The sequence below is a fragment of the Homo sapiens genome, chromosome 6 (assembly GCF_000001405.40).
Source record: "Homo sapiens chromosome 6, GRCh38.p14 Primary Assembly".
NCBI classification, from domain to species: domain Eukaryota; kingdom Metazoa; phylum Chordata; class Mammalia; order Primates; family Hominidae; genus Homo; species Homo sapiens.
The window spans coordinates 21901904-21925014 of record NC_000006.12 but is presented as its reverse complement, the minus strand read 5'-3'; the positions used below and the strand labels follow the sequence as shown (position 1 = coordinate 21925014).

Here is a 23111-nt window from a genome sequence, read left to right as displayed (position 1 = left end):
CCATCATCACCACTGCCAACACCTCCATCACCGTCACCCTCACCATCACCATCACCATCATCACTATCACCATTCATCATCACCACCACCACCACGCCATCATCACCACTGCCATCACCTCCATCACCGCCACCCTCACCATCACCATCACCATCATCACTATCACCATTCATCATCACCACCACCACCACGCCATCATCACCACTGCCATCACCTCCATCACCGCCACCCTCACCCTCACCATCACCATCATCACTATCACCATTCATCATCACCACCACCACCATGCCATCATCACCACTGCCATCACCTCCATCACCGCCACCCTCACCATCACCATCATCATCACCACCACCACAACACCATCACAATAAAAAGTATGCATTTCTGCCCTCCAAAAGGCCACAGAAGCTTCCTTTCTTAGGAAATTGTACTGATATATTTGCTGTTTTTCCTTTGCCCTCCTAAAGCTATCACCACATAATAAGCATCCTTTCAATCAAAGAAGAATAGGAAGAGGTCAAGATTGTTCAAGGATTCCTAGGGCCCTGGTGATAGAAGACAGAGTGAATTTATGGCCCAAATCAAGTGTTTTTATCTTTCCATAAGAGAAAGATACTTGTGACAAGTAGAGTGAGATACTAGAAAGAATGCAGCCTCTCTAACTCGTTATCATTTGTAAATTCCCTGCCTGATTTGATAACAAATATCACTTTTCCTTCAGTGCCATTGGAAAAAAAAAATCACAGTGATAACAAAGGTGCCATTATTTCTGATCGCATTTTCCTGTTAATAATCACAGTTACAGTCAACTAACACCCTGGGTTCTCACATCATTAAATAAATATTACCTGGTGGCAAATATTAGTATCCCCAATTTTGCATTCCAAAGATGTCAAGAAACCTATCGGAAAGGTCAAATCTCAGTAAACAAGGCCAAAGCCAAAAAAAAAACACAAAAATCCCCTATTTCCATTATTTCCTAGTTTCAACATAAATGTCTGTGTCTCTGGCTCTCAATGGAATTTTCTACCAGACACATCAGTGGCCATAGTGGTCATTATAATCCTATCCTACTTGACATAATAAATTTGATTAGTAGAAGTTCATAAAAACAGAATCCTGGAAGGGATTCCTGGATCAGAGACTCTTAACCCAAGATTTATTAATTATAGGAGGGCATGCACATCTTTAAGTTACAGTTTCAAAATTTGTGCAAATACACAGTTTACTCTGGAAAAATCCCAGAGGTTTCCTAAATTCTCTGGGACTCATGTTCTCTCCATTTAAGAATCACTGATAGCAAATTAGTCACTCTCAATTCTTACTGTACATCAGAAGAGTCTCTGAGGAACTTTGATTAAAAAACACACTTCCCAGCCAGGCACAGTGGCTCACACCTGTAATCCCAGCACTTCAGGAGGCCAAGGCAGGCAGATCACTAGGTCATGAGTTCAAGGCCAGCCTGGCCAATATGGTGAAACCCTGTCTCTACCAAAAATACAACAATTAGCCAGGCGTGGTGGCGGGCACCTGTAGTCCCAGCTACTCGGGAGGCTGAGGCAGGAGAATCGCTTGAACCTGCAAGGCGGAGGTTGCAGTGAGCCCAGATCGTGCCACTGCACTCCAGCCTGGGTCACAGAGAGAGACTCCATCTCAAAAAAAAAAAAAAAAAAAAAACACTTCCCAAGGCCAAGCCCTAGACAAACTAAATCACAATGTTAGTAGACAGAACTCAAGCACATGAATTTTTTTAAATAACTTTTTTTAAAAGGCTTTCAATTATGGCTTTCAATGTAAAAGGCTTTCAATGTATGATGATTATACATACACAAGGTTAAAAACACTGTGTAGCTTCAATTGATTAGTCTTTTTATTTTATATAATCACTGAACTTTATCATTGGAAGAAATCCTAGATATTGGAAAACTAGCACACTTCTTTTACAAAAAAGAACCAAATGTGTTAATTAACTTGCCCAGGATCATACAGCTAGTTAGAAACAGAACCAAAATATTCTGCTTTAAACATATTTTTTAAAACTACATTCAAATTTTTATTTTTTAAAAATCATAAAATAGGGTTTACCAGCCTCTCTACTAAGTCCCCTAAAACTACCTCCTGAATTTCTTCTTGAAAAGAGAAAGTTCACCATCTTTTGTAGTTTATATGCAAAAAGTAACCTACATCTGCATAAAATTATTGTAAATATCACAGATGAACCATATTTAGAGGGATAAACCATCATGGGTAATAAATTATGATAAACACACAGTGAAGATTGGTTGACCCCTTTATCAACTGAGTGAGAAATTCCTGATAATCAAAATTATGGCTCACCACAATTTCTTATACTTTTCTTTCTAGCTGTTTTATTTTATTTTTAATTGTCAAAGAAAAGAACGAAAGCATGCTTGCCCCCAGAAAAGGGTGTAAATAGCCAAGGCATCTCATGTGCTTCAGGAAGGTATTTACATGTCCCAAACCAAGAAGGATAGGCCCTTTAATGGTAGATAAATGACATCTATTTATCCTAAACGAAGACCTTTTAAAATGCAATTTGAGTTGAAGAGAAGAAAGGGAAAGAAGGAGGTGACTTTTTCTTTGTTAAATTTCACAATAAATTTACATCCAGACTCAGCAAGTGCTTTTCTGTGGCTTCACAGTAGCTGAGATAATTATACTCCTGACCTCTTGATGTATGAGTCCCGATTGAGGGAAGTCAGCTGAATCCCAAGGACAGCATTCCAAGATGATGAAAAGAATTCTTTCAGGACACACCCACTGTGTGACTTGGTGCAGGCAGGATTTCTCCCTACCCCACTGAAGAAGACAGAGCAGAGGGGAAAGGAGAGGACCAGGGTTCACTTCATTGACAGGGACACAGGCAGATAAGTAGTAAGAACAGTTAACATTCAAATGCTTACAATATGCCAAGAACCACTCTAAAGGTTCTGTATTTACAATCAACGTTTCAGCCCGCGGACTGCATATGTCTGTGTTCCCTTAAGATTATAATGGAGCTGAAAATTCCTATTGCCCAATGACGTCTTGATGATCCTGACCTGTGTAAACCTAAGGTAACATATGTGTTTGTGTCTCAGTTTTTAACAACAACAAAAAAGTTTAGAAAGTTACAAAAAAAAATTAGAAATGGAAAAAATCTTGCAGATATAAGGAAAGAAAATGTTGTATAGCTGTACAATGTGTTTGTGTTTTTTTTTGTTGTTGTTGTTGTTTTTTGAGACGGAGTCTTGCTCTGTCGCCCAGGCTGGAGTGCAGTGGCGTCTTGTCGGCTCACTGCAAGCTCCGCTTCCCGGGTTCACGCCATTCTCCTGCCTCAGCCTCCCAAGTAGCTGGGACTACAGGCACCCGCCACCATGCCCAGCTAATTTTTTGTATTTTCAGTAGAGACGGGGGTTTCATCATATTAGCCAGGCTGGTCTCGAACTCCTGACCTCGTGATCTGCCCGCTTCAGCCTCTCAAAGTGCCAGGATTCCAGGTGTGAGCCACTGTGCCTGGCCCTACTTTTTATCCTTTATATTTTTACTGTAACTTTTCTATGTCTAGATATGTTCAGATACATACATATCTAGCATTATGTCATAATTGCCTACAATATTTTGTACAGTAACATGCTATAAGGTTTGTAGCCCAAGAGCAATAGGTTGTACCATCTAGCTTAGGTGTGTAGTAAGCTACCCCATCTAGGTTTGTGTAAGCACACTCGATGATGTTTGCACAATGAAGAAATTATCCAGTGGTACATTTCTCAGAACATATCCCTGTCGTTAAGTGACTCATGACTGTACCACCTCCTGTGAATTATGAATTCTTGTTCGACCCCTCATAAAGCTTAGGACAATGCCTTAAATAGAGCAGAGACTGAATAAGCATTTTTTTTTTTTTTTTGAGACAGAGTCTCGCTCTGTTGCCCAGGCTGGAGTGCTGTGGCGTGATCTCGGTTCACTGCAACCTCCGACTCCCTGGTTCAAGCAATTCTCCTGTCTTAGCCTACTGAGTAGCTGGGATTACAGGCATGTACCACCACGCCTGTAATACAAAAATATAATTTTTGTATTTTTAGTAGAGACGGGGTTTCACCGTGTTGGCCAGGATGGTCTTGATCTCCTGACCTCATGATCCGCCCGCCTCGGCCTCCCAAAGTGCTGGGATTACAGGCGTGAGCCACCGTGCCTGGCCTGAATAATCATTTGATTGAAGTGGAAAAGACAAAATTCTAGAACATTAATTCCAAAGAGCATAAGGATTTCCTGCAGTTAACAGTACTTCACACAAACCCTGAGTAATGCCACACTCTAGTTTTGTGATCATTTCTCTTTCCATATCTTTACCTCTGAGTAAGGCAGAGTGCCTAGTCCTTGGCAGGGATATATAATATATATTTGTGGAGCAAATGAGTGAACAGAGAGGACGCCATCTTCAAGGAAACTACACATTTTTATATTTATCCTTTTTATTTCTGTTTCCTCCTACTAAAGTGTTAGTTCCACGAAGACAGGAAGTTGTATCTATTTGTTTACTGCTATTACCTACAATAATGCTTAGGAAAAAAAGGAATAGTCAATAAATACTTATTGCATTTATCTTATTGAATGAATGAATAAAATGCTAAGTGAGAACACTGTAATCCCAGCACTTTGGAGGCCGAGGCAGCCGAATCACTTGAGGCCAGGAGTTCGAGACCAGCCTGGCCAACATAGCAAAACCCCGTCTCTACTAAAAATACAAAAAATTAACCAGGCCTGGTCGCACATGCCTGTAATCTCAGCTACTTGGGAGGCTGAGGCATGAGAATTGTTTGAACCTGGAAGGCAGAGGTTGCAGTTAGCTGAGATTGTGCCACTGCACTCCAGCCTGGGTGACAGAGTGAGATTCCATCTCAAACAAACAAACAAAAAAGCTAAGTGAAAACAGAGTTCTGTGCTCGGTCCTAGAGATGGATCATCCTATACAGCAGAAAATAACTCAATCCAAGCACTGCTAAATGTTGATGTGATTAAGGCTGATGTTAAGGATAAAGCCTTTCTGATAGAAAGAACTTATTTTCATATATGTGACAGTAACACTACAAAAGCACAATCAGGCCCAGCGTGGTGGCTCACGCCTGTAATACCAGCACTTTGGGAGGCCGAGGCAGGCGGATCACGAGGTCAGGAGTTTGAGAACAGCCTGACCAACATGGTAAAACCCCATCTCTACCAAAAAATACAAAAATTAGCCGGGTGTGGTGGCACACATCTGTAATCCCAGCTACTTGGGAGGCTGAGACAGGAGAATCACTTCAACCCAAGAGGCAGAGGTTGCAGTGAGCCGAGACCGTGCCACTGCACTCCAGCCTGGGTGACAGAGCAAGATTCAGTCTCAGGAAAAAAAAAAAAAAAAAAAAGCACAATCATATGTATTTTTTTATTTTTTTTTTTTTGAGATGGAGTTTCGCTCTTATTGTCCAGGCTGGAGTGCAGTGGCACAATCTCGGCTCGCTGCAACCTCCGCCTCCCAGGTTCAAGCAATTCTCCTGCCTCAGCCTCCCTAGTAGCTGGGATTACAGGCATGTGCCACCACGCCCGGCTAATTTTGTATTTTTAGTAGAGAAAGGGTTTCTCCATGTTGGTCAGACTGGTCTCGAACTCCCGACCTCAGGTGATCCACCCACCTCAGCCTCCCAAAGTGCTGGGATTACAGGCATAAGCCTCCACGCCCAGCCAATCATATGTATTTTTCAATTAATGCTCTCTGAATCCTGCGTGTGATGCCATCATAAATCCCTGACAAAAGGGACCCCTATGCTGTAATGCCCCTGCCCACAGAGTGAGGACTAAAGTCACCTGCCCATCGGAACCCAAAAATCCTGTTCTGGATCATGTGCCAGGTGCTCGGGCCCCAGAGTTCCTTATCCCAACAGCCCATGCTCATTTATAAGGCCTGTGCAGATGTTCCCTCCACACACTCCCCCAAGATAGACAATCCTCAATATAGAATCCCGAGGCCCACAGGGTGAAGGGTGGGTCCAGCAGACATACAGACCACGCTGTCCACAAGCATGACGACTAGATTCCTGCTCCCACCCACACTACCTGGTCAGGCATGGAAGTTGGCTAAGAATCTGAAAACTCAAAATTCAAACCTGCCCTTCAAGATGGTTATAAAGGTGTATTTGTCAGAACAGAAAAATTTCCAAACATGTTTTGACACTTTTTTGTTTGATTTGTAACTTTTAAATATTTACATACAGAGTATGTGGTCCTGCATTCACATTCTAGCCCCGGGCACCACAAATGTTAGGGGCAAGACTGCCCATCAGAGAAACTGAGGCTCAGGGCAGCTGACCTGCCTGAGGGCACAGGGCTAGGAGCTGGAAGAGCTAGAACCCAAACCCAGTTCTTCATAATCCAAGCATCGGTACCTAGGGCGAACCCCTCCCTCACTTCAACCACTTCAGAGCACTTTTGTGCGTGCTTCCCCACCGTGATTACAGAAATCCTGGAGGATCCCAAGAGTTGAGGCCATGGGGCCAGGAACAGCCCGTCCTCTCTCCTTGCAACCTGTGTTTTCTCCTCAATACCACGGCAGCCAAATGTGATCCTAGGTGATCCTAAGCCCAGATGGTCGCTGTGCAAGTGCACACCTGTACATCCCTGTAGTGTGGAGACAATCTATGCTAGAAGTAAACAAGCAGCGGCACATGCCTCAGGAACCGCACAAGACGAAGCCTGAGGCTTCTGAACACACATCTTTTTACAACTCTAAACCCAGAAGTGCATTAGTGTTCTTGCAAAACAGGCTGTGCGGCAGTTTTAAAAGCCCAGCTATAATACCTTCATAAGACCTGTACTTACAGGGACCCTTTCATCCAGGAAATTCAAAGTACTTTACAAGCTCAGAGCCATTCATCTAAACACTCCAGGGAAGTATGCAGGTGGCCTAGGTTAGACTCATTGACGAAGAAACTGAGGCAGCCTGACAGCCTTAAGTAGCAGTCTTTAAAATGGTCTTTGCTTTTTGAAAATGAGTAGCTTTAAACATGTACAAAAAACATGCCACTGATAGAGGAGAAAAAAGGGATTTCCACTATTTTTGTAGGCATTAAATTGAATTTAACAAAATTAAATACTATAGTCATAGAAATCTATGCCTTGGTGTAGTTTTTATCCAAACGAGCCATGAAAATTTATGCTCAATCCACTACAAATGGCTCGTTAAATTTGAGCTACTATCGCCTTTCAAAATGCAAATTCCATAATCACAAATTTTAAGACAGAAATTTCAATTTTTTCCCCTCAAATGGAATCAGGCTTTTACACCTTTAGCCAGAAAGCACTTAGCAAAGGTGATTAGCATATTCTCTCTGGACTAGATGGAATCAATATCAAGCCAGGGAGATTAGCTTCATTTGATTTTTAGTGGGAGGTAAATGGCCCCAGGGAAGCATGTCTGAGAGGAGTGGAGGAAGAGTCCTTTCATAAATCAGGGAAGTTAAGAGTTCAGGAAGAACAGAACATAAAAAGTAGCCATTTTTGTTACCTTAATGTAATCCAAACAATGTTTGGACTGAATACAAATATTTGAAAGTTATGTTCATAGAAATAACCAACATTCAGTGAGTTATCATTTTGTTCTAACCACTGTACTTCCTGCTTATAAATAACCCATTTTATAGGCCAAAAAAAAAAAAAAACAGCCTCAGAAAAATTAACAGATCCAGTCTCAAAACAGTTTACCATGGAGTTAGAAAAATATTCACTCATTTATTCCATAAGGCAACTACATCGAATCTGAAATATGAAAATATATATAAATTTCTCCCAGGGAGTTCATAATCTAGTAGAGAAATACGCAGGTAAAACAATTTTCCAAAAGGCATGTTCAGGGCACCATGGCAATGCAGTGACAGCTGAATTAACTGAGGGTCTAGGGCGGGTAATATGAAGGATTTTGCAGAAAGGATGTCCATTTCAACAGGCAGATCAAAGGAGAAAGGAACTCTAGACTGATTACAATGGCTTATGTGAATGCATGAACACATAAGAGAACCTAATCTAGGTCTCTGGGGTCATCTGGCATGGCTAGAGAGAATGAGGATGCATAAGAAGAGGTACTAAAAGGTAATCCTGGGCTGGATAAGTGTGCACAGGTAGGAAATTAGATGTTAAGAATTAATTATTCGGCCAGCGCAGTGGCTCACACCTGTAATCCCAGCACTTTGGGAGGCTGAGGCAGGTGGATCACCTGAGGTTGGGAGTTCAAGACAACCCTGACCAAAATGGAGAAAACCCGTCTCTACTAAAAATACAAAATTAGCCAGGTGTAGTGGCACATGCTTGTAATCTCAGCTACTCGGGAGGCTGAGGCAGGAGAATCACTTGAACTCAGGAGGCAGAGGTTGTGGTGAGCCGAGATCATGCTATTGCACTCCAGCCTGGGCAACAAGAGCGAAACTCCATCGCAAAAAAAAAAAAAAAAAAAAAAAAAAGAATTAATTAATTACTTCTGCAATTGGGTATGTCTTATCTTCCCAACAAGCTATGTCTCCTTGATGGGAAAAAATCTCCCCTTGGATTCTAGCAGAACAGTTTATGCCTAAAATGGTTTAATCTAAACCACTGATTGCTATTACTTCTTTGTCACCATCATCAGAGCTAGCACTTAGACAACGGCTACAGGCATCACTATTAGCTCTTTATGTATAATAACCTATTTAAAGCTTACAAGAGCCCAATGAGGCAAACTGTATTGCCAGCACCATTCTACAGAGGAGCTGAGGCACAGGAATATGCCTAGAACACTCATCTGCTAACTCACACTGTCTGGAATTTATGTCCCAAAACACATACAAAACTGAAGTGCAAGATTATGTTACTAGGAATTTTCTGCCTCCTTAATTGTCAGTTCTCTTCCTCCCATCCCACACACCCCCCATCAACATAAGCAAATGTCATGGACTTGCCAGGAGATGACTAATAAGCTCATCAACACTGCTTCTCAGCCATCACATAGTATCTGCCACTTTCCTCCTCTCCTGCTCGGTCCCATCCAGTGGTATCTGCCAGTGAGAACCAGTGTCAAAAGTGCTAATGGCCAAGATACTGATTTAGCTGCTGAGCTCCCAGTGATGTCACTTCCCAAGGCTGCACAAGCCACTTTCTCTTCTACTGCCAACCCTGTCCCTGATGTAGTTACTGATGCCACTTAACATACTCAATGTGGCACACAGATTTTGGTAAATCAGTCATCTTGAGATTTTGCTTTCACTTTTAACACAGCCCATTCTCCCTAGGTTTCCAACATGATTCTGTTCGACTGGAAAGTAATCCAAGTGATTGGCAGCATGCTTCCCTTGGAATCCTCTTTCTGTCTATTAACACATTTTTCAACTTTGGTTTACATAAACATCCCTCTATTCGATTGTGAGCTCCTTTGGGCAAGCCTTAAAGAGGTACATAAACTTTCATAAACTCAAATTGCTAGTAGGCATTCAGCTTGTTGAATGAATGAGTTGAGTATTAACTTTCTAACTCCACTGTAAGCTCTTTGAGACTGTACAAGCTCCTATTCACTTTTCTGTTTCTCAGTTTCTTGTTTGTAAAATGAAATCATAAGAGCACGAGCTTCAAAGCGTTGCTGCGAAGATCTGTAAAGCAGTTAAAATGGTACATAGCATACAATAAGCATCTAATAAATGTCTGGTACACAGCATACAATAAGCATCTAATAAATGTCACTATCCATATCTATATACTTAACAGCTACTTACTGTTTTGTATAAGATGTGAACAAAAGTTCTCTGAAAAGGAATTTGGAGAAAAGAGACTTTATTTCAGTGAACAGTCTGCAAACTGGAGAAATACGCTTTGGTGTAAAAGGAAGGTGCATTCCAGAGAACAACAAGAGGGTTTGGATTTTACAGCAAATGTTCCCACCCAAGTTTCCAATCGAGTCTGTTAATTCAAAGATCTGAAACTTGTTTAGTTCCTATTGATTGACACAAGTGAGTTCTGTTGATTGGTTGATACAGCTGAGCCCTGATTGGTCAATACAGCTGAGCTTTGATTGGTTGGTTCAGGTGAGTTCTCAACGTCCCAAAGTTAAAAAGATGTGGGGGTTTCCAGGGTTTGGGGGAACTCAGAGTATGTGTGGGGCCTCAAGTCAGCAAATGGCTGCTTGACTCTATGTTAAATCTAAGCCCACTTAGCCACTTGGGATCCATCTTGAAAAATTGGCTTTTTCAGGTTCTCATCTGTTGACAGACATAAGCAATGTCTATTTGTGCTTTAGATATTTCTTATCCAATTCAACTGTCTTCCTATAGAATGAGGACTTTCCCAGAGGTACTTCAGACAATCATGAAAACAAACTGTTGGAGACCAAAACACCAGACCTCCAGACGTGTCCAGACAGATCTGAATTCAAGAGTATGAGTGAGCAAAGATAAGGCCAAAGGCATAAAACCAGGTAAAACCAAAGGCACGTTTTCCACATGAACTTAAAACTATCAACTGAAAAAGAAAAGAAATGCCTATGGCCATGGATCGGCTATGCTTCTGGGTGGCAATACACAGCATACAACTGACCCAAGTGCCATTCCTACCTACCTAATAAATGGCTGTCAAGAATTATGGCAGTGTGCTGCTCTGTATTTTGGTGGACACACCAACATAAATCCAACTAATATCAGACTGTGTGACCTCACCCTTGGACGCGAGCCAGAGGTTTCACTTGAGATCTCGGAAGTTATCAGATCTGGAAAGTGTTTCAGTTGCTTTCTCTTTTAGCCCATTTTAAGCAAAACAAAAGGCAGCACGGACCCAAAGAGGCAAGAAGGTAAAACCAGAAATTGTCTATACTCCATTACCCCAAATTACCTGATGATGAATAAATATTCATTGTTCCGTGGTTTCAATAGAAAGTAAACACCTATTTAAAAAGACCTGATCTTCGTCATGCCTTTAATCTCTTCCTTTTCGCTTATATCAGAGAGAGAATATTCATGCTTCCTGACCGAAAGATATGCTTCTAATACAACCTCAAACAAACCCTGACCCAAACCCTGATTCAGTGTTCTTTTTTTTTTTTTTTTTTTTTTTTTAATTGAGACAGAGTCACTCTGTTGCCCAGGCTGGAGTGCAGTGGCTCGATCTCGGCTCACCAGTCTCTGCCTCCCAGGTTCAAGCGATTCTCCTGCCTCAGCCTCCCACGTAGCTGGGGTTACAGGCATGTGCCACCACACTCGACTAATTTTTGTATTCTTAGTAGAGACAGGGTTTTGCCATGTCAGCCAGGCTGGTCTCAAACTCTTGACCTCAGGTGATCCGTCCACCTCAGCCTCCCAAAATGCAAGGATTACAGGCATGAACCATTGCACCCGGCCACTATATTCTTTTTCTTTCACTCCTTGGTCAGTCCACTATAACCCCTTAACCAGGACTCAGCCCGGTACATACCACTGCACTCCTCCCAGTATACCTTAGTGGAAAAGCTGAAATTGCACTGACGTTAGAGGTGCTGTCCTGATATTTGTTGGCTGAATGATCTCAGATGAATTTCTTCACCTCTCCAGGCCTCAGTTTCTACATCTATAAAAGGAAGCTGATCTCTGCAGCCTCCTTACCACCCAAATTCTCACAGGGTCATTAGCCCATAGGTTTCCAGGTGTGCAGTGAAACACAAAATGCTGAGAAGCCACACCCCACTCTTAGCATATGGATGAAGAAGCTCTGAGGAAGCACATGTGTTGGAGGGTAGGGGAGGCCGTCAGGGTAAAAAATACCAAGACAACTGAATATGGGAGAAAAACACTTCTCTTGTCCCAACTGAAATTGAAAACTGTGAGTGTGCACAAGCACGAAGAATAGCTGTCAGGGAGCCCGGTGCTGTGAAGAAAACCTGAAATCATCCCTCTCTACCAGTACAGAGTATCTTTGTATCCTTGTATCTGCTGCAACTGGAAATGGAGAATTAGGCAGATGGAGTGTTTTTAAGGGATTGGACAATTTATTAGGTGCTATAAAACATAGGCAATCAATAAATAATATTTCAATTGATTTCAACATCATTCCACTGGTTCTCTTTAGGAAATTTCAAGCTGATGCCACAATGTTCCACTCTGCTCTCTGCTGCACATTTAGTGAATTCCCATGTGTCGATACACAAATTTAGAAGCTCAGAACAGCGGAGGCCACCAATATGACCGCATAGCATTGAAGAATTTAATCAGTTAATGTTTCAGGATCTACCCATCAAACATTGACAGCTCACAATCAATGTAAGAAGTTACTTTGTAAAATGGACTTTTTTTTCTCCCTTGAATTTGAGCCCTAGAAGTCTGTAATGCTTGACTTTCCTGGAAAACTTCCAGATTCACACTTCACTTTCAACTTTGTGGATTGAGCTTCGTCTCTTAAAGACAATAGTGAATGGTTTTGTACTGGCTGTTAAGTCTGCTTTTAAGAATAGTTTAGGTATTCTTTGCAAAGAGGCTTCTGTTATTTCCATCGTGTTATTTTATTTTCAATTTTTCCTTTTTCCCTTCCATTTGAAATCCCCCCTCGGTGGTGTGCCTAAGTGCTCAGGTAATATACATACAAATGCTTCAACAGACAGATGGGTAAGTACCATCTCATGGTGCCCATACTTCTTAGTGAAAAAAGTATCCAAAACAGAGTGCAGTAATTCCATCCCCTCAAGTGCTATAATAATCCCTGCAGATGGCAGTTCTGCAACTGAAACTGCAGCACAATGGATATATAAATTAGGGCTACCAATAATGCTTGACAATACAATGAAGTAAGTATTCCAATATTCCCATTTCTAATACACACATTACATAAAACCAGAAAAATTACTTTTAAGACAAGCAGCGAAATAAAACTTTCTAAAACGTTTTGCAAAATCAGTGCTACATTCTCATCTTTTTCCATACGCAATTTTCATGTAACTGAGTGTATACTCCAAATAGAAAATTTTCTTAAGCTGTAGACCTCATCAGCTTTGTAGGTTAGTCTCTGTGAGCACAGGATACCTGAAAGCTGGTTAATGAATAATATTTCAGAAATCTTTACTAACATGCTAATCACAATTGGATAGCTCTCATTTAATTATTTAAAAAAGAAAAGAAAACCTAAGTATTATTATTATCCTCATCTTCTAGCTGAGGAAATTAAAGCTGAAAGAGGTTAAATAATTTACCTAAGGTCACATTGCTAGTGGTGACAGAACTGGGATTTAAACCTGGGAATTCGGCTCCCAAGCACTTAGCTACTATACAATATTACCCTGGTAGTTAGTACTAGAGTCCTTAGTTTCACAGGGGTAAGGGAGGAGACTCATATATTTGCCTTAGAAAACATCTTATTAAAATGCCAGACTAAAACACACCCAGTCCAGTGAGATTTGCCTACAGAAATACCTACAGGACCTAAACTTATAGATTCCTTTGCCTATGCTTTTGCTCCAGAAGCAAGGCCAGGGCCCCTGTGAATTACGGGGATCAGTGGGAGCCCATGGCTGTCTACCTACTTGTTCACCTGCTTTTAGTTATCTGGAGACATTGTGCCTCCTGAACTGTACACATATGAAAAAATGTCAAGGTCATCAATATTTACCTCTTATGAACCCAAAGGTCCCATTAAAAAGGTATCAGTTATTTGTGGGAATGTTTTAGTCACCTGACATGATGGGAGAGGAGGAAGAGCTTGGAACTATTAACATTTTATTGTAATCTCTAATATGAGAAGTCTACTGCCACCACCAAAGTCAAAGCTGAAATTAATATTTGTAACATAAAAATATCATGGGTGCTACTCAGTTTTCATGAATCTAATGTTATCAACAATGACAAGTCAGAAGACCCCATCACATTAGGCGCAACAGGAAAGCTCTGAACAGCATGCAATTCCAAAGTGATGATGATACACTAAATGTCAGATACAGCCTTCAGATTCTTGTTCTTTTTTTACTTTTATGAAGTATGAAATTCTTGTTCTTTGTTACTTTTTTTAAGTATGAACACAGGCTAGTCGTTTTGTGTACACTCCACCCCACCCTAAAAATATTGCTGTATTTATCATTACACTTCTTTTTTTTTTTGAGAGTGTCCCACTTTGTCACCCAGACTGGAGTGCAATCTCGGCTCACTGCAGCCTCAACCTCCCAAGCTCAAGTGATCCTCCCACCTCCCACCTCACCCTACAGAGAAGCTGGAATCACAGGCATGCGTCACCACATCCAACTAATTTTTGTATTATTTGCAGAGACAAGGTCTCGCTATGCTGCGCAGGCTGGTCTCAAACTCCTGGGCTCAAGTGATCCACCTGCCTCAGCATCCCAGAGTGCTGGGATTACAGGTGTGAGTCACCACCGCACCCAGCCAACACTCCTAATTCTTTTTTTTTTTTTTTTTTTTGAGACAGAGTCTTGCTCTGTCACCCAGGCTGGAGTGCGGTGGTGCGATCTCAGCTCACTGCAACCTCTGCCTCCTGGGTTCAAGTGATTCTCCTGCTTCAGCCTTCCGAGTAGCTGGTACTACAAGTGTGCGCCACCACGCCCAGCTAATTTTTGCCTTTTTGGCAAAGACAGGGTTTCACCATGTTGGCCAGGATGGTCTCGATCTCTTGACCTCCTGATCCACCCGCCTTGGCCATCCAAAACGCTGGGATTACAGGCATGAGCCACTGCCCCCAGCCAACTCCCAATTCTTGATAATTCTTTAACCTTGTAAAAAGAAACTGAGTTCTACAAATAAGCCACGAAGTTTCTCTGATGTCTTGATATAAGAATATCAAGAGCAGAAAGCATGGAAGAAAGATGTATAAAATTTAGCAGGGTGTCTGCATGATGAAACCAGGATTGACATACTAACGTTTTTAATGAAAATCTCCACCGGGTGTGGTGGCTCATGTTTGCCAGGCGTGGCGTCTCATGCCTGTAATCCCAGCACTTCGGGAGGCTGAGGCGGGTGGATCATCTGAAGTCAGGAGTCCGAGACCAGCCAGGCCAACATGGTAAAACCCCATCTCTAGTAAAAATACAAAAATTAGCCGGGTATGGTGGCGGGCGCCTATAATCCCAGCTACTCAGGAGGCTGAGGCAGGAGAATTGGTTGAACCCGGGGGGTGGGGCGGCGGAGGTTGCAGTGAGCCAAGATCATGCCACTGCACTCCAGCCCAGGTAATAAGAGCAAAATTCCATCTCAAACAACAACAACAACAACAACAACAACCACCACCACAGGAAAACTCTGAAGACTCTCCTGCTTGCAATTAAGAGGTATATCCAGAAATTATCAAAAGTTGTATTCTTCCAGTTGAAATCTTCTCAGTTTCATCTTCCTGTTTTGATTACTGGTCCCTTGAAAAGGGGCCTGTGGTATTACAAATTATCCCATTACTCACTCGTCTCAGGTAATTCTGCTGGAAAGGGAAGGAAGTAAATCTTGGAGTCCTGCACTTCCATCCGTTAATCATATACATGCACGCCCTCAAAAGCAGTAAATCACTGTCTTTCACTGTATTGCCATGATTCACACCTGAAACAGAGCAGAGAAGACAGGTACTCAGAAATGCCATGCCCAGAAAAAAAGGCATCTTAATACACTAAAAACAATGACACTTAGGCACACCGGTATTGCTTCTTCTCAAATAGACATCACACCAGCAAGTACAGTTTATCATTCTAATTAAGGGTCGTCAGCCGTATTAAAGGCAAATTTTATAGACCAAAGCTTTCCAAACAGAACATTTTAGGACTCCGTACCCTTTCCAAGCTCTATTAAAACCAAACATCTATATCATGTTAACCCACTTGGGCAGCACGACTTTAATTAGTAAAATTAGCCCTGTTGTTTGGCCAACTTTCGTCTCATAAACTCTGCAAGGCAGAAACATAACCAATCATATGTTTTAAGATGCTACCTAATTATATAAAAGCACTCATCAAACTTTACCCAGAAGTGTTTAAAAATCAAAACATACCATTAATCCTGAAGACAAAAATATTTGAGGTTACCTTATTTTTTAAGATTATGTGCTCATTTACTACATGAGGAAAAAGGGCTTTTGATAGTCAACCGCCTTCTTTTAATTTAATTACCAGAAAATGCAAACTGTTTTCAGGTTTACCTGAATGTTATCAGTTTGAGTGGATTTTCCTACTCAATACACAACTGCCCTGCTTCCACTGGTCTTGTTAGGAAGAGGCAGTAACAGAAGTGCACACTCGGTATTTTTAAGCACATTTAAAATTTCTCTAGCTGGGGAGATAAGAACACCTCCCTCTTGCCAAGCAAATGCCAACAGCCAACAGAACAAGGCCAAATGAGAGAAAACACCTCCTGCAGATTTTACCCAACTTTTTCGTTGAGCTTGCACCATCATTATCAGCTGCCCTTCACAACTGCCAGCCTGTTCCATTAAACTTGCTATCAACTCAATATCAGCAGGATAACAGTACAATGGTCTCCCAGCTCCTAGATTTGGGAGATTGATGACTGGATGCTAATGAGGGCTCTGCCTGCAAGATGTATTTTTTATATTTGATTCCCTGACCTTAATTTTTACATCATTCAAAAATCTGGAACTAAAGCTCACATTGGGTACAGAAATGACGCTTTTTCAGCAAGAATCAGACCAGGCTGACAGACTGTTTCTTTAACTGCCTTTCAGCAAAATGGCCGCCTCAAGGATTAGGCTCTGAAATGGCTGAGAACAGGGATTTGTAAGACAAAGAATGACACGTATTTCTGACAGCTGTGAATATATACATAGGCTAGAAGTATCTTTGAAATAAAAGCCATTGTGATACATTTAAATGGAATAATGTAATTGAAAATAGATTTTTTTTAAAAAAAGAATGAACTCAATGCTACCACACTTTTAGGGATGTTTTTATTGATTTTAAAGGGCTTTGTAATAAGATTATATGCCCTACATTGCAGGACCAAAAGCTCTTTGACTGCATATAAATGATTGTGGTCTGCTCAACTTTCAACACAGGATTTTCTTACCCAGACTCCATCACCACTATATTCTTTAAAAGGCATCTCCTTTGAATTTTGGGTTGTGCTGTGGAAATCTACAACTTATAATGCCTTAGCCTAAATGTACATGCACACACAAAAATTATTCTTTTTCCCCAGTAAGCCTCTGCTAATATCTGCCATCCATATTAAAGTATATGGATATAATACGTTCCTAATAAAAGGAATACACCTTGATGTACACTCCACCACAGAACATGAGTCCCTGAGGTTACTTCAACCTTACCAGTGCCATGAATTACTTTATGGATGACAGATTTTATTTTTTTTAATCCCATGTGTTATATTTTAGCTCCAGCTTTAAAACTGTGCAAATGGAAGGAAAACTATCTTAGTAAACATTCCCCTGACTATCATCAGGTTTAAAAGAATTTTATTTCTAGACCTAAGGAACACCACAAAATAAACCACAGATGCTGGTGCCTGTCAGATATGAAGTGTCCAAAGATTAACCCACAGTGACCTATCTCCGCATTATGTTCCAGGGCCACTTAAATACGAATATGGGGATGACGCCTTTTAGCTAAAAACGTAGATGTCAAACAGCTGCATATCAGACTGTTAAAATGATCTTTGGGAAATCTCAAAGGCTTATGCTATCCTAAAACAGCAAATACTGACATCTACTTTTTGTCTTTTTTTTTTTAAGTGTAATACCAGTAAACCACATTCGAGGTCAGAAAAAGTCTACTTGGCCACCTGAATAACTCTGCCATATTTGGTATTCAAAATTAAAAAGTGGAGACTTAAAAGTGGTAGTTACATGCTGGATTTCTTTGAAAACTTAAAATTGGAGCAGGAAAAAAACCAAAATAAGGACAACTCATTTAATGGCATTTGGTCAGCTCACTTGTTAAATATACACTGATTTATACATACAGTCAAAAAATAGCACTTAAGTTAACAGAATGACTAATGTCATAATGAGACACCTTTATTGAGTCATTATGTATATAAGAAACAGTCCCAAAATTGTGGGGCCTGCTTCAAGTAGGCTAAGAGGTAACTGAATATTGGTAAAATTGTGAAATATATGAAGAGACATGTATATAGAGAGAAATGCAGTCAGCAAAATGTCACTAAATTATACCCTTAAATCTGTCTTGCCTTTAAAAATGCATCCCCATCAGACAGGCATTCACCCACTCCAGAGAACGCAACCAGAAAGGGAGCTTCAAGTCTGTAACCCAAATGACAGCCCAAGAGTTTGTGGGTTTTATAAATGGTGGTTTGAGATTTAGGTTTTGTTTCTCCGTATAAGTAAAGTACCCATGGCAATGTTGTCCTGACACTACAGAATCACAGAAAGAAAAATTTATAGACTGAGTGGTTTACCAATTTCTTTTGACCAAAAGCAGTCCAAGGAGCAACTAGGTCAGATGTCCGTTCTACCTGCCACTTGATTATTTGCGGGAAGACATAAAGCTGGTTTTACTGATTTACCAGGAAATGTTTCTCATATCAAGTTCAGCACTGAATAGTGAACCATAGATATTCAATTTCAATTAGAAATTAACAGTCCTCCAAATCATAAAACCATTATATCCAATGCCACAATTTTAAGGGGGAAATTTGGGGGAGAAGAGTACGAGAAAAATCGTACAGATTCAAAAAGGACTGATGTTATTAGGGAGCAGAAGAGGAACTGATTTTCATTACCTTAAGGATATTGCTTATTAAGCTCAGACTACAAAACAAGCGTAGCTGTAGGAGTTTTGTGTTCCAGGTACCAATATGAGTTTACCAGTCAAAGCAAGCCTCTTCTGAAAATTATCATGGTTTACTGATGAGTACTTGTATCAATGTCTTAGGGAGATACAGATAGAGAGAGACGTGTGTGTGTGTGTGTGTGTGTGTGTGTAATTTATGTTATAATGTGTGTGTGTGTAATTTATATGTTATAGTGTGTGTGTATATATATATATATATATATATTTTTAAAGCCCACCACTGATGTTGTAAATGATTCAAGAATTATATATGGAAAGCATAAATATGTTTCTATATCTCTGTCTAGCTGGCTAACAAGAAGCTTTTAGAGCTGAAAAGTTCTAAGAGGCAACTTGTTATTCCAGAGCCCTAAATCTATAAATCTTACAGCTGACATTTCCCAACTTGGGGCAATAACAGATTAGAGGATGAGTAGGGCCACTTCTATTCTTAAGGACATAACTGGCAGCTGCTGGGCTCATTTGGAATCGTTGGCTCATGAAAACTTGTTTATGCATTTGGTGTATTCATATAATTTGCCTATTTGCTAGGCTTAACACCAATAAGATGGCTGAACATTTGCTGTTGTCCATTTGTTGACTCACAACAACTCAAGGCTTAAATGCCACATAAAAAGAACCTGACCAGCTGGGAGGAGGCGTCAAGGACTTGATGAAATAGAACAAAGTCTTGTCTTGATTTTTCTCTGGAAAAAGTCAAAAAGAAAATATTGTTTTCTAATAATTCTAAGAGCCTTTTCATTTATCTTCTCGTTACAAAAACTAGCATGTATTCCTAGCATGTGTCAATAGATGGTCACAACTGGTATTCAAAAATCAGGTGCTTTAGGTAAAAGGGCCAATATTGAATCTCAAGTTAAATTAAGCTGTTGTTTTGTACACACTTTTGTGATGGGCTTGATATGCTTCTAGATGGTAAATACAGTCTCTGAAAACAAAAAACACATAATCAAAATAAAAACCTTCAGTTACTGAAGGCCAGAAACACCATGAGAAACAGTTTTATTTAATTAAATAAGACTTCCTGTAATTACTAGGAAAATGCCTCAATCTGGTACGCTTCATATAGGGACAGAAAAGTCTAAGTGATTCTAATCAAAATGTTCTCAAATCTCTCTTACGTAATGATCAATTGGAAAATAACAATTTCATATCTTCCACAGTTGTGATACAAATATTAAATGTCTTAATTACCTCTTTACCTCATTTATATTCTCAGAGATACACAAGTATTAAACAGGATAACAGACTTTAAAAATTAATCAATTTGAAATTTTCCTTCTAAAAGACATTTTGCTTTTACCTTGCCATACAAAAGACTATCATTTCTTAAACCATTACTTTGTACCTACTTAATTCCTACTAATGTGGCTACTTGGGATGCTGGATTTCTCCAAATATATTTGTTTTTATTAAACAAATGTCCAACAACTTTCAGAATTAACAAATGGACTAGCAGCCCCAAATGAATGCCAGCTAAATAAGCAATTAACCTGGGAACACAAACACATCCCCAATCTACTAAGTTCGGAACATTCTCAGATTATAGCCAATTGCCAAACTCATTCATCTCAGCAACTCATTGTGCTTGTATTGATCAAGACAAGCACAATCTCAGGAGCTTTCTTTGCCTTCTCTCACTTTAAGAGGTATCAACAAATTAGATATGTATCAATTCATGAAAAAACTTCTTTAGAGTGTGACCAGTATTGGTCCTTTCCAGCTCTAATATTTAATGAAAACCTCTAAAGTTGAGTCATAGAAAACTGCATTTTTTAAAAAATTCTTACTACGGAACGTATTTTAGTAAGTCCAGAGTCACAATTTTGCCTCATGAAGCATATATACCTACAAGACGTTCAGGAGCACCAAGAAGCCGAACTGCTCTCAAAACAATCTCTTCCTGGGCTGCTTGTCTAAAGACTCAAATCCCCACCATAGCTTGGTCTCTTAGGCACCAAAGCCCCTTGATAAAATACCTAGCTATTAAACCTTTAGAATAAATTTACTTCATACAGGAATCTATTGGTCAATGCTCAAAGTACATAATCAATTGAACAGGTAAACCATGGTAGGAGAGGGAAGCAGAGGAAAAGTTCTATTTAGGGAGAAAAGTTTGTAATGAGTGTGAACTGGGCCACCAAAGGCAGTGGGAAGATGGAGGAAACAAGAGATAAAAGTCCAGGGAAAACCTACCAGACCAGACAGAACTTTAGACCATTTTGAAGTAGAAAATGTTGGGATTGCCAGGTGCGGTGGCTCACGCCTGTCATCCCAGCACTTTGGGAGGCCAAGAGTTCGAGACCAGCCTGACCAACATGGAGAAACCCCATCTCTACTAAAAATACACAATTAGCCAGGCATGGTGGTGCATCCCTGTAATCTCAGCTACTAGGAAGGCTGAGGCAGGAGAATCACTTGAACCCAGGAGGCAGGGGTTGAGGTGAGCCGAGACTGCGCTACTGTACTCCAGCCTGGGCAACAAGAGGGAAACTCTGTCTCAAAATAAAAATAAAAATAAAAAAAGAAAGAAAAAAACAAGAAAAGGCTGGGATCTAGTTTCCAGTATATCTAGGTTTGTTTTTTCATAATCTGCACTGCCAGTCAAGTAAAACCAACATACACTGGCTGGAGAAGCAAAGTCTTGCTTCCTGGTCTTGTCTGGAATTCTGTCTTCTCTCCCTCCATGCCCTGGGTACCTGCCAGCCCTCAACGTCCCCTTCCCCTGCCTATAATCACTGGGATCTTCTTCTTTCTAATTGCTCCGGATTTTTTTTTTTTCTTATTCTTTTCTCCCATTCTTTCATAAAATTTCAGAAAGAATAATTAAAAATCCTTTGTCCAGGCGAGCCACAAGCTTTTAAAAATCCCCATCTGCCGAAAATATTTACATTTAGGGAAAGTGTTGCTCTGTTTACTTCAGAGACCACACAGATATTTGAACAAGGAGAAAAACAATCCTGGTCTATTGATTCTGAGTCTAGGCTTTATCCACCAGGACCAGTTGTTCCTCACAAGTTATTATTCTGAAAAAGTCACTTCTATTTAGGTTTTTAAACCAACATTTAAAAACCTACCAAGACAAAAAAATACTTCCCTAAGTAATGTCCTCAAGTAATGGCCTAAGTAATGTCCTGAAGTTTATGCTTCTGTATTCAGAGGCCAAGCAGACTCTCCCAAACAAGAGGCCCGCATTCTCACACGAAGCGATTTACCTTCAGCATTGAGAGCCCCTTCTGGGACAAAGAATGTGAAGAGGGGGAGCTTTAGAACTGCTGGTGGCAGTAATACCCAACATCATTCACATAACTCAGCAGACTGTCACTGTTCGTGCATCTAAAGGAACCAGCAACTGGGTAAAACAAAAGTTCAAAGGAGTTGGGATGAGGCATAGGGCCGAAGACAACCAGGGAAGGGGATCTGAAAGAGTGGGAGGTGACCCTGAGACTCCAGGGTGGAAGCAGCAGAACATCGGAGGTGTTCCCAAAACATTTGAATGAGAGAGGGGGCCATAAGACTAGCATCTAGTTCCGGGGGGTGGAAGCCATTATGATCATTAAGTAGGCCATAGAAAAAGGTGGCTGTAAAAATGTATTCTCCTTTCCCCCTCCTTTCTTTTCATCTAGAAATGGCAGTCCCAGTCTACTTTGCACACAGTTCTGCATTAGCTTATTCAACATCAAGCCACCTAGGAGAAATCAAAGCTAATTTGTTCATAAAACCTTAAGAGAAGCTGGGCACAATGGCTCATGCCTATAATCCCAGCACTTTGGGGGGCTGAAGCAGGAGGATCACTTGAGGCCAGGAGTTCAAGACCAGCCTGGGCTACATAGTGAGACCTCATCTCTACTAAAAATAAAAATAAATTAGCTGGGCTCAGTGGCATGCAACTGTGGTCCCAGCTACTGAGGAAGCTGAGGCGGGATGACCCCTTGGACCCAGGAATTTGGGGCTGCAGTGAGCTACGATTGTGCCACAGCACTCCAGCCTGGGCAACAGAGAGACTCTGTCTTTAGAAACATAAAAATAAACCTTGAGGCTGGGCGCGGTGCTCACGCCTGTAATCCCAGCACTTTGGGAGGCCAAGGCAGGCGGATCACGAGGTCAAGAGATCGAGACCATCCTGGCCAACATGGTGAAATCCCGTCTCTACTAAAAATACAAAAATTAGCTGGGTGTGGTGGCACGAGCCTGTAATCCCAGCTACTCAGGAGGCTGAGGCAGGAGAATCGCTGGAACCTGGGAGGCGGAGGTTGCAGTGAGCCGAGATCGTGCCACTGCACTCCAGCCTGGCAACAGGGCGAGACTTTGTCTCAAGAAAAAGAAT

At 40.9% G+C, this 23111-nt stretch overlaps 1 long non-coding RNA gene across 1 annotated transcript in view, besides 1 other annotated feature; it reads right to left on the bottom strand.

Moving 5' to 3' along the window:
- Positions 1 to 23111, bottom strand: part of CASC15 (cancer susceptibility 15) — a 529408-nt gene that overhangs the window by 270806 nt on the left and 235491 nt on the right. The window contains exon 5 of the long non-coding RNA NR_015410.2: positions 15412 to 15545. This is a non-coding gene — a long non-coding RNA (cancer susceptibility 15). The remainder of the gene's footprint in view (positions 1 to 15411; positions 15546 to 23111) is intronic.
- Positions 10759 to 10808: an enhancer, noted in NCBI's record as "active region_24145". NCBI's record gives its function as "activates an Ori minimal core promoter by ATAC-STARR-seq in GM12878 lymphoblastoid cells {active_cell/tissue: GM12878}" and the evidence as "EXISTENCE:reporter gene assay evidence [ECO:0000049][PMID:35858748]".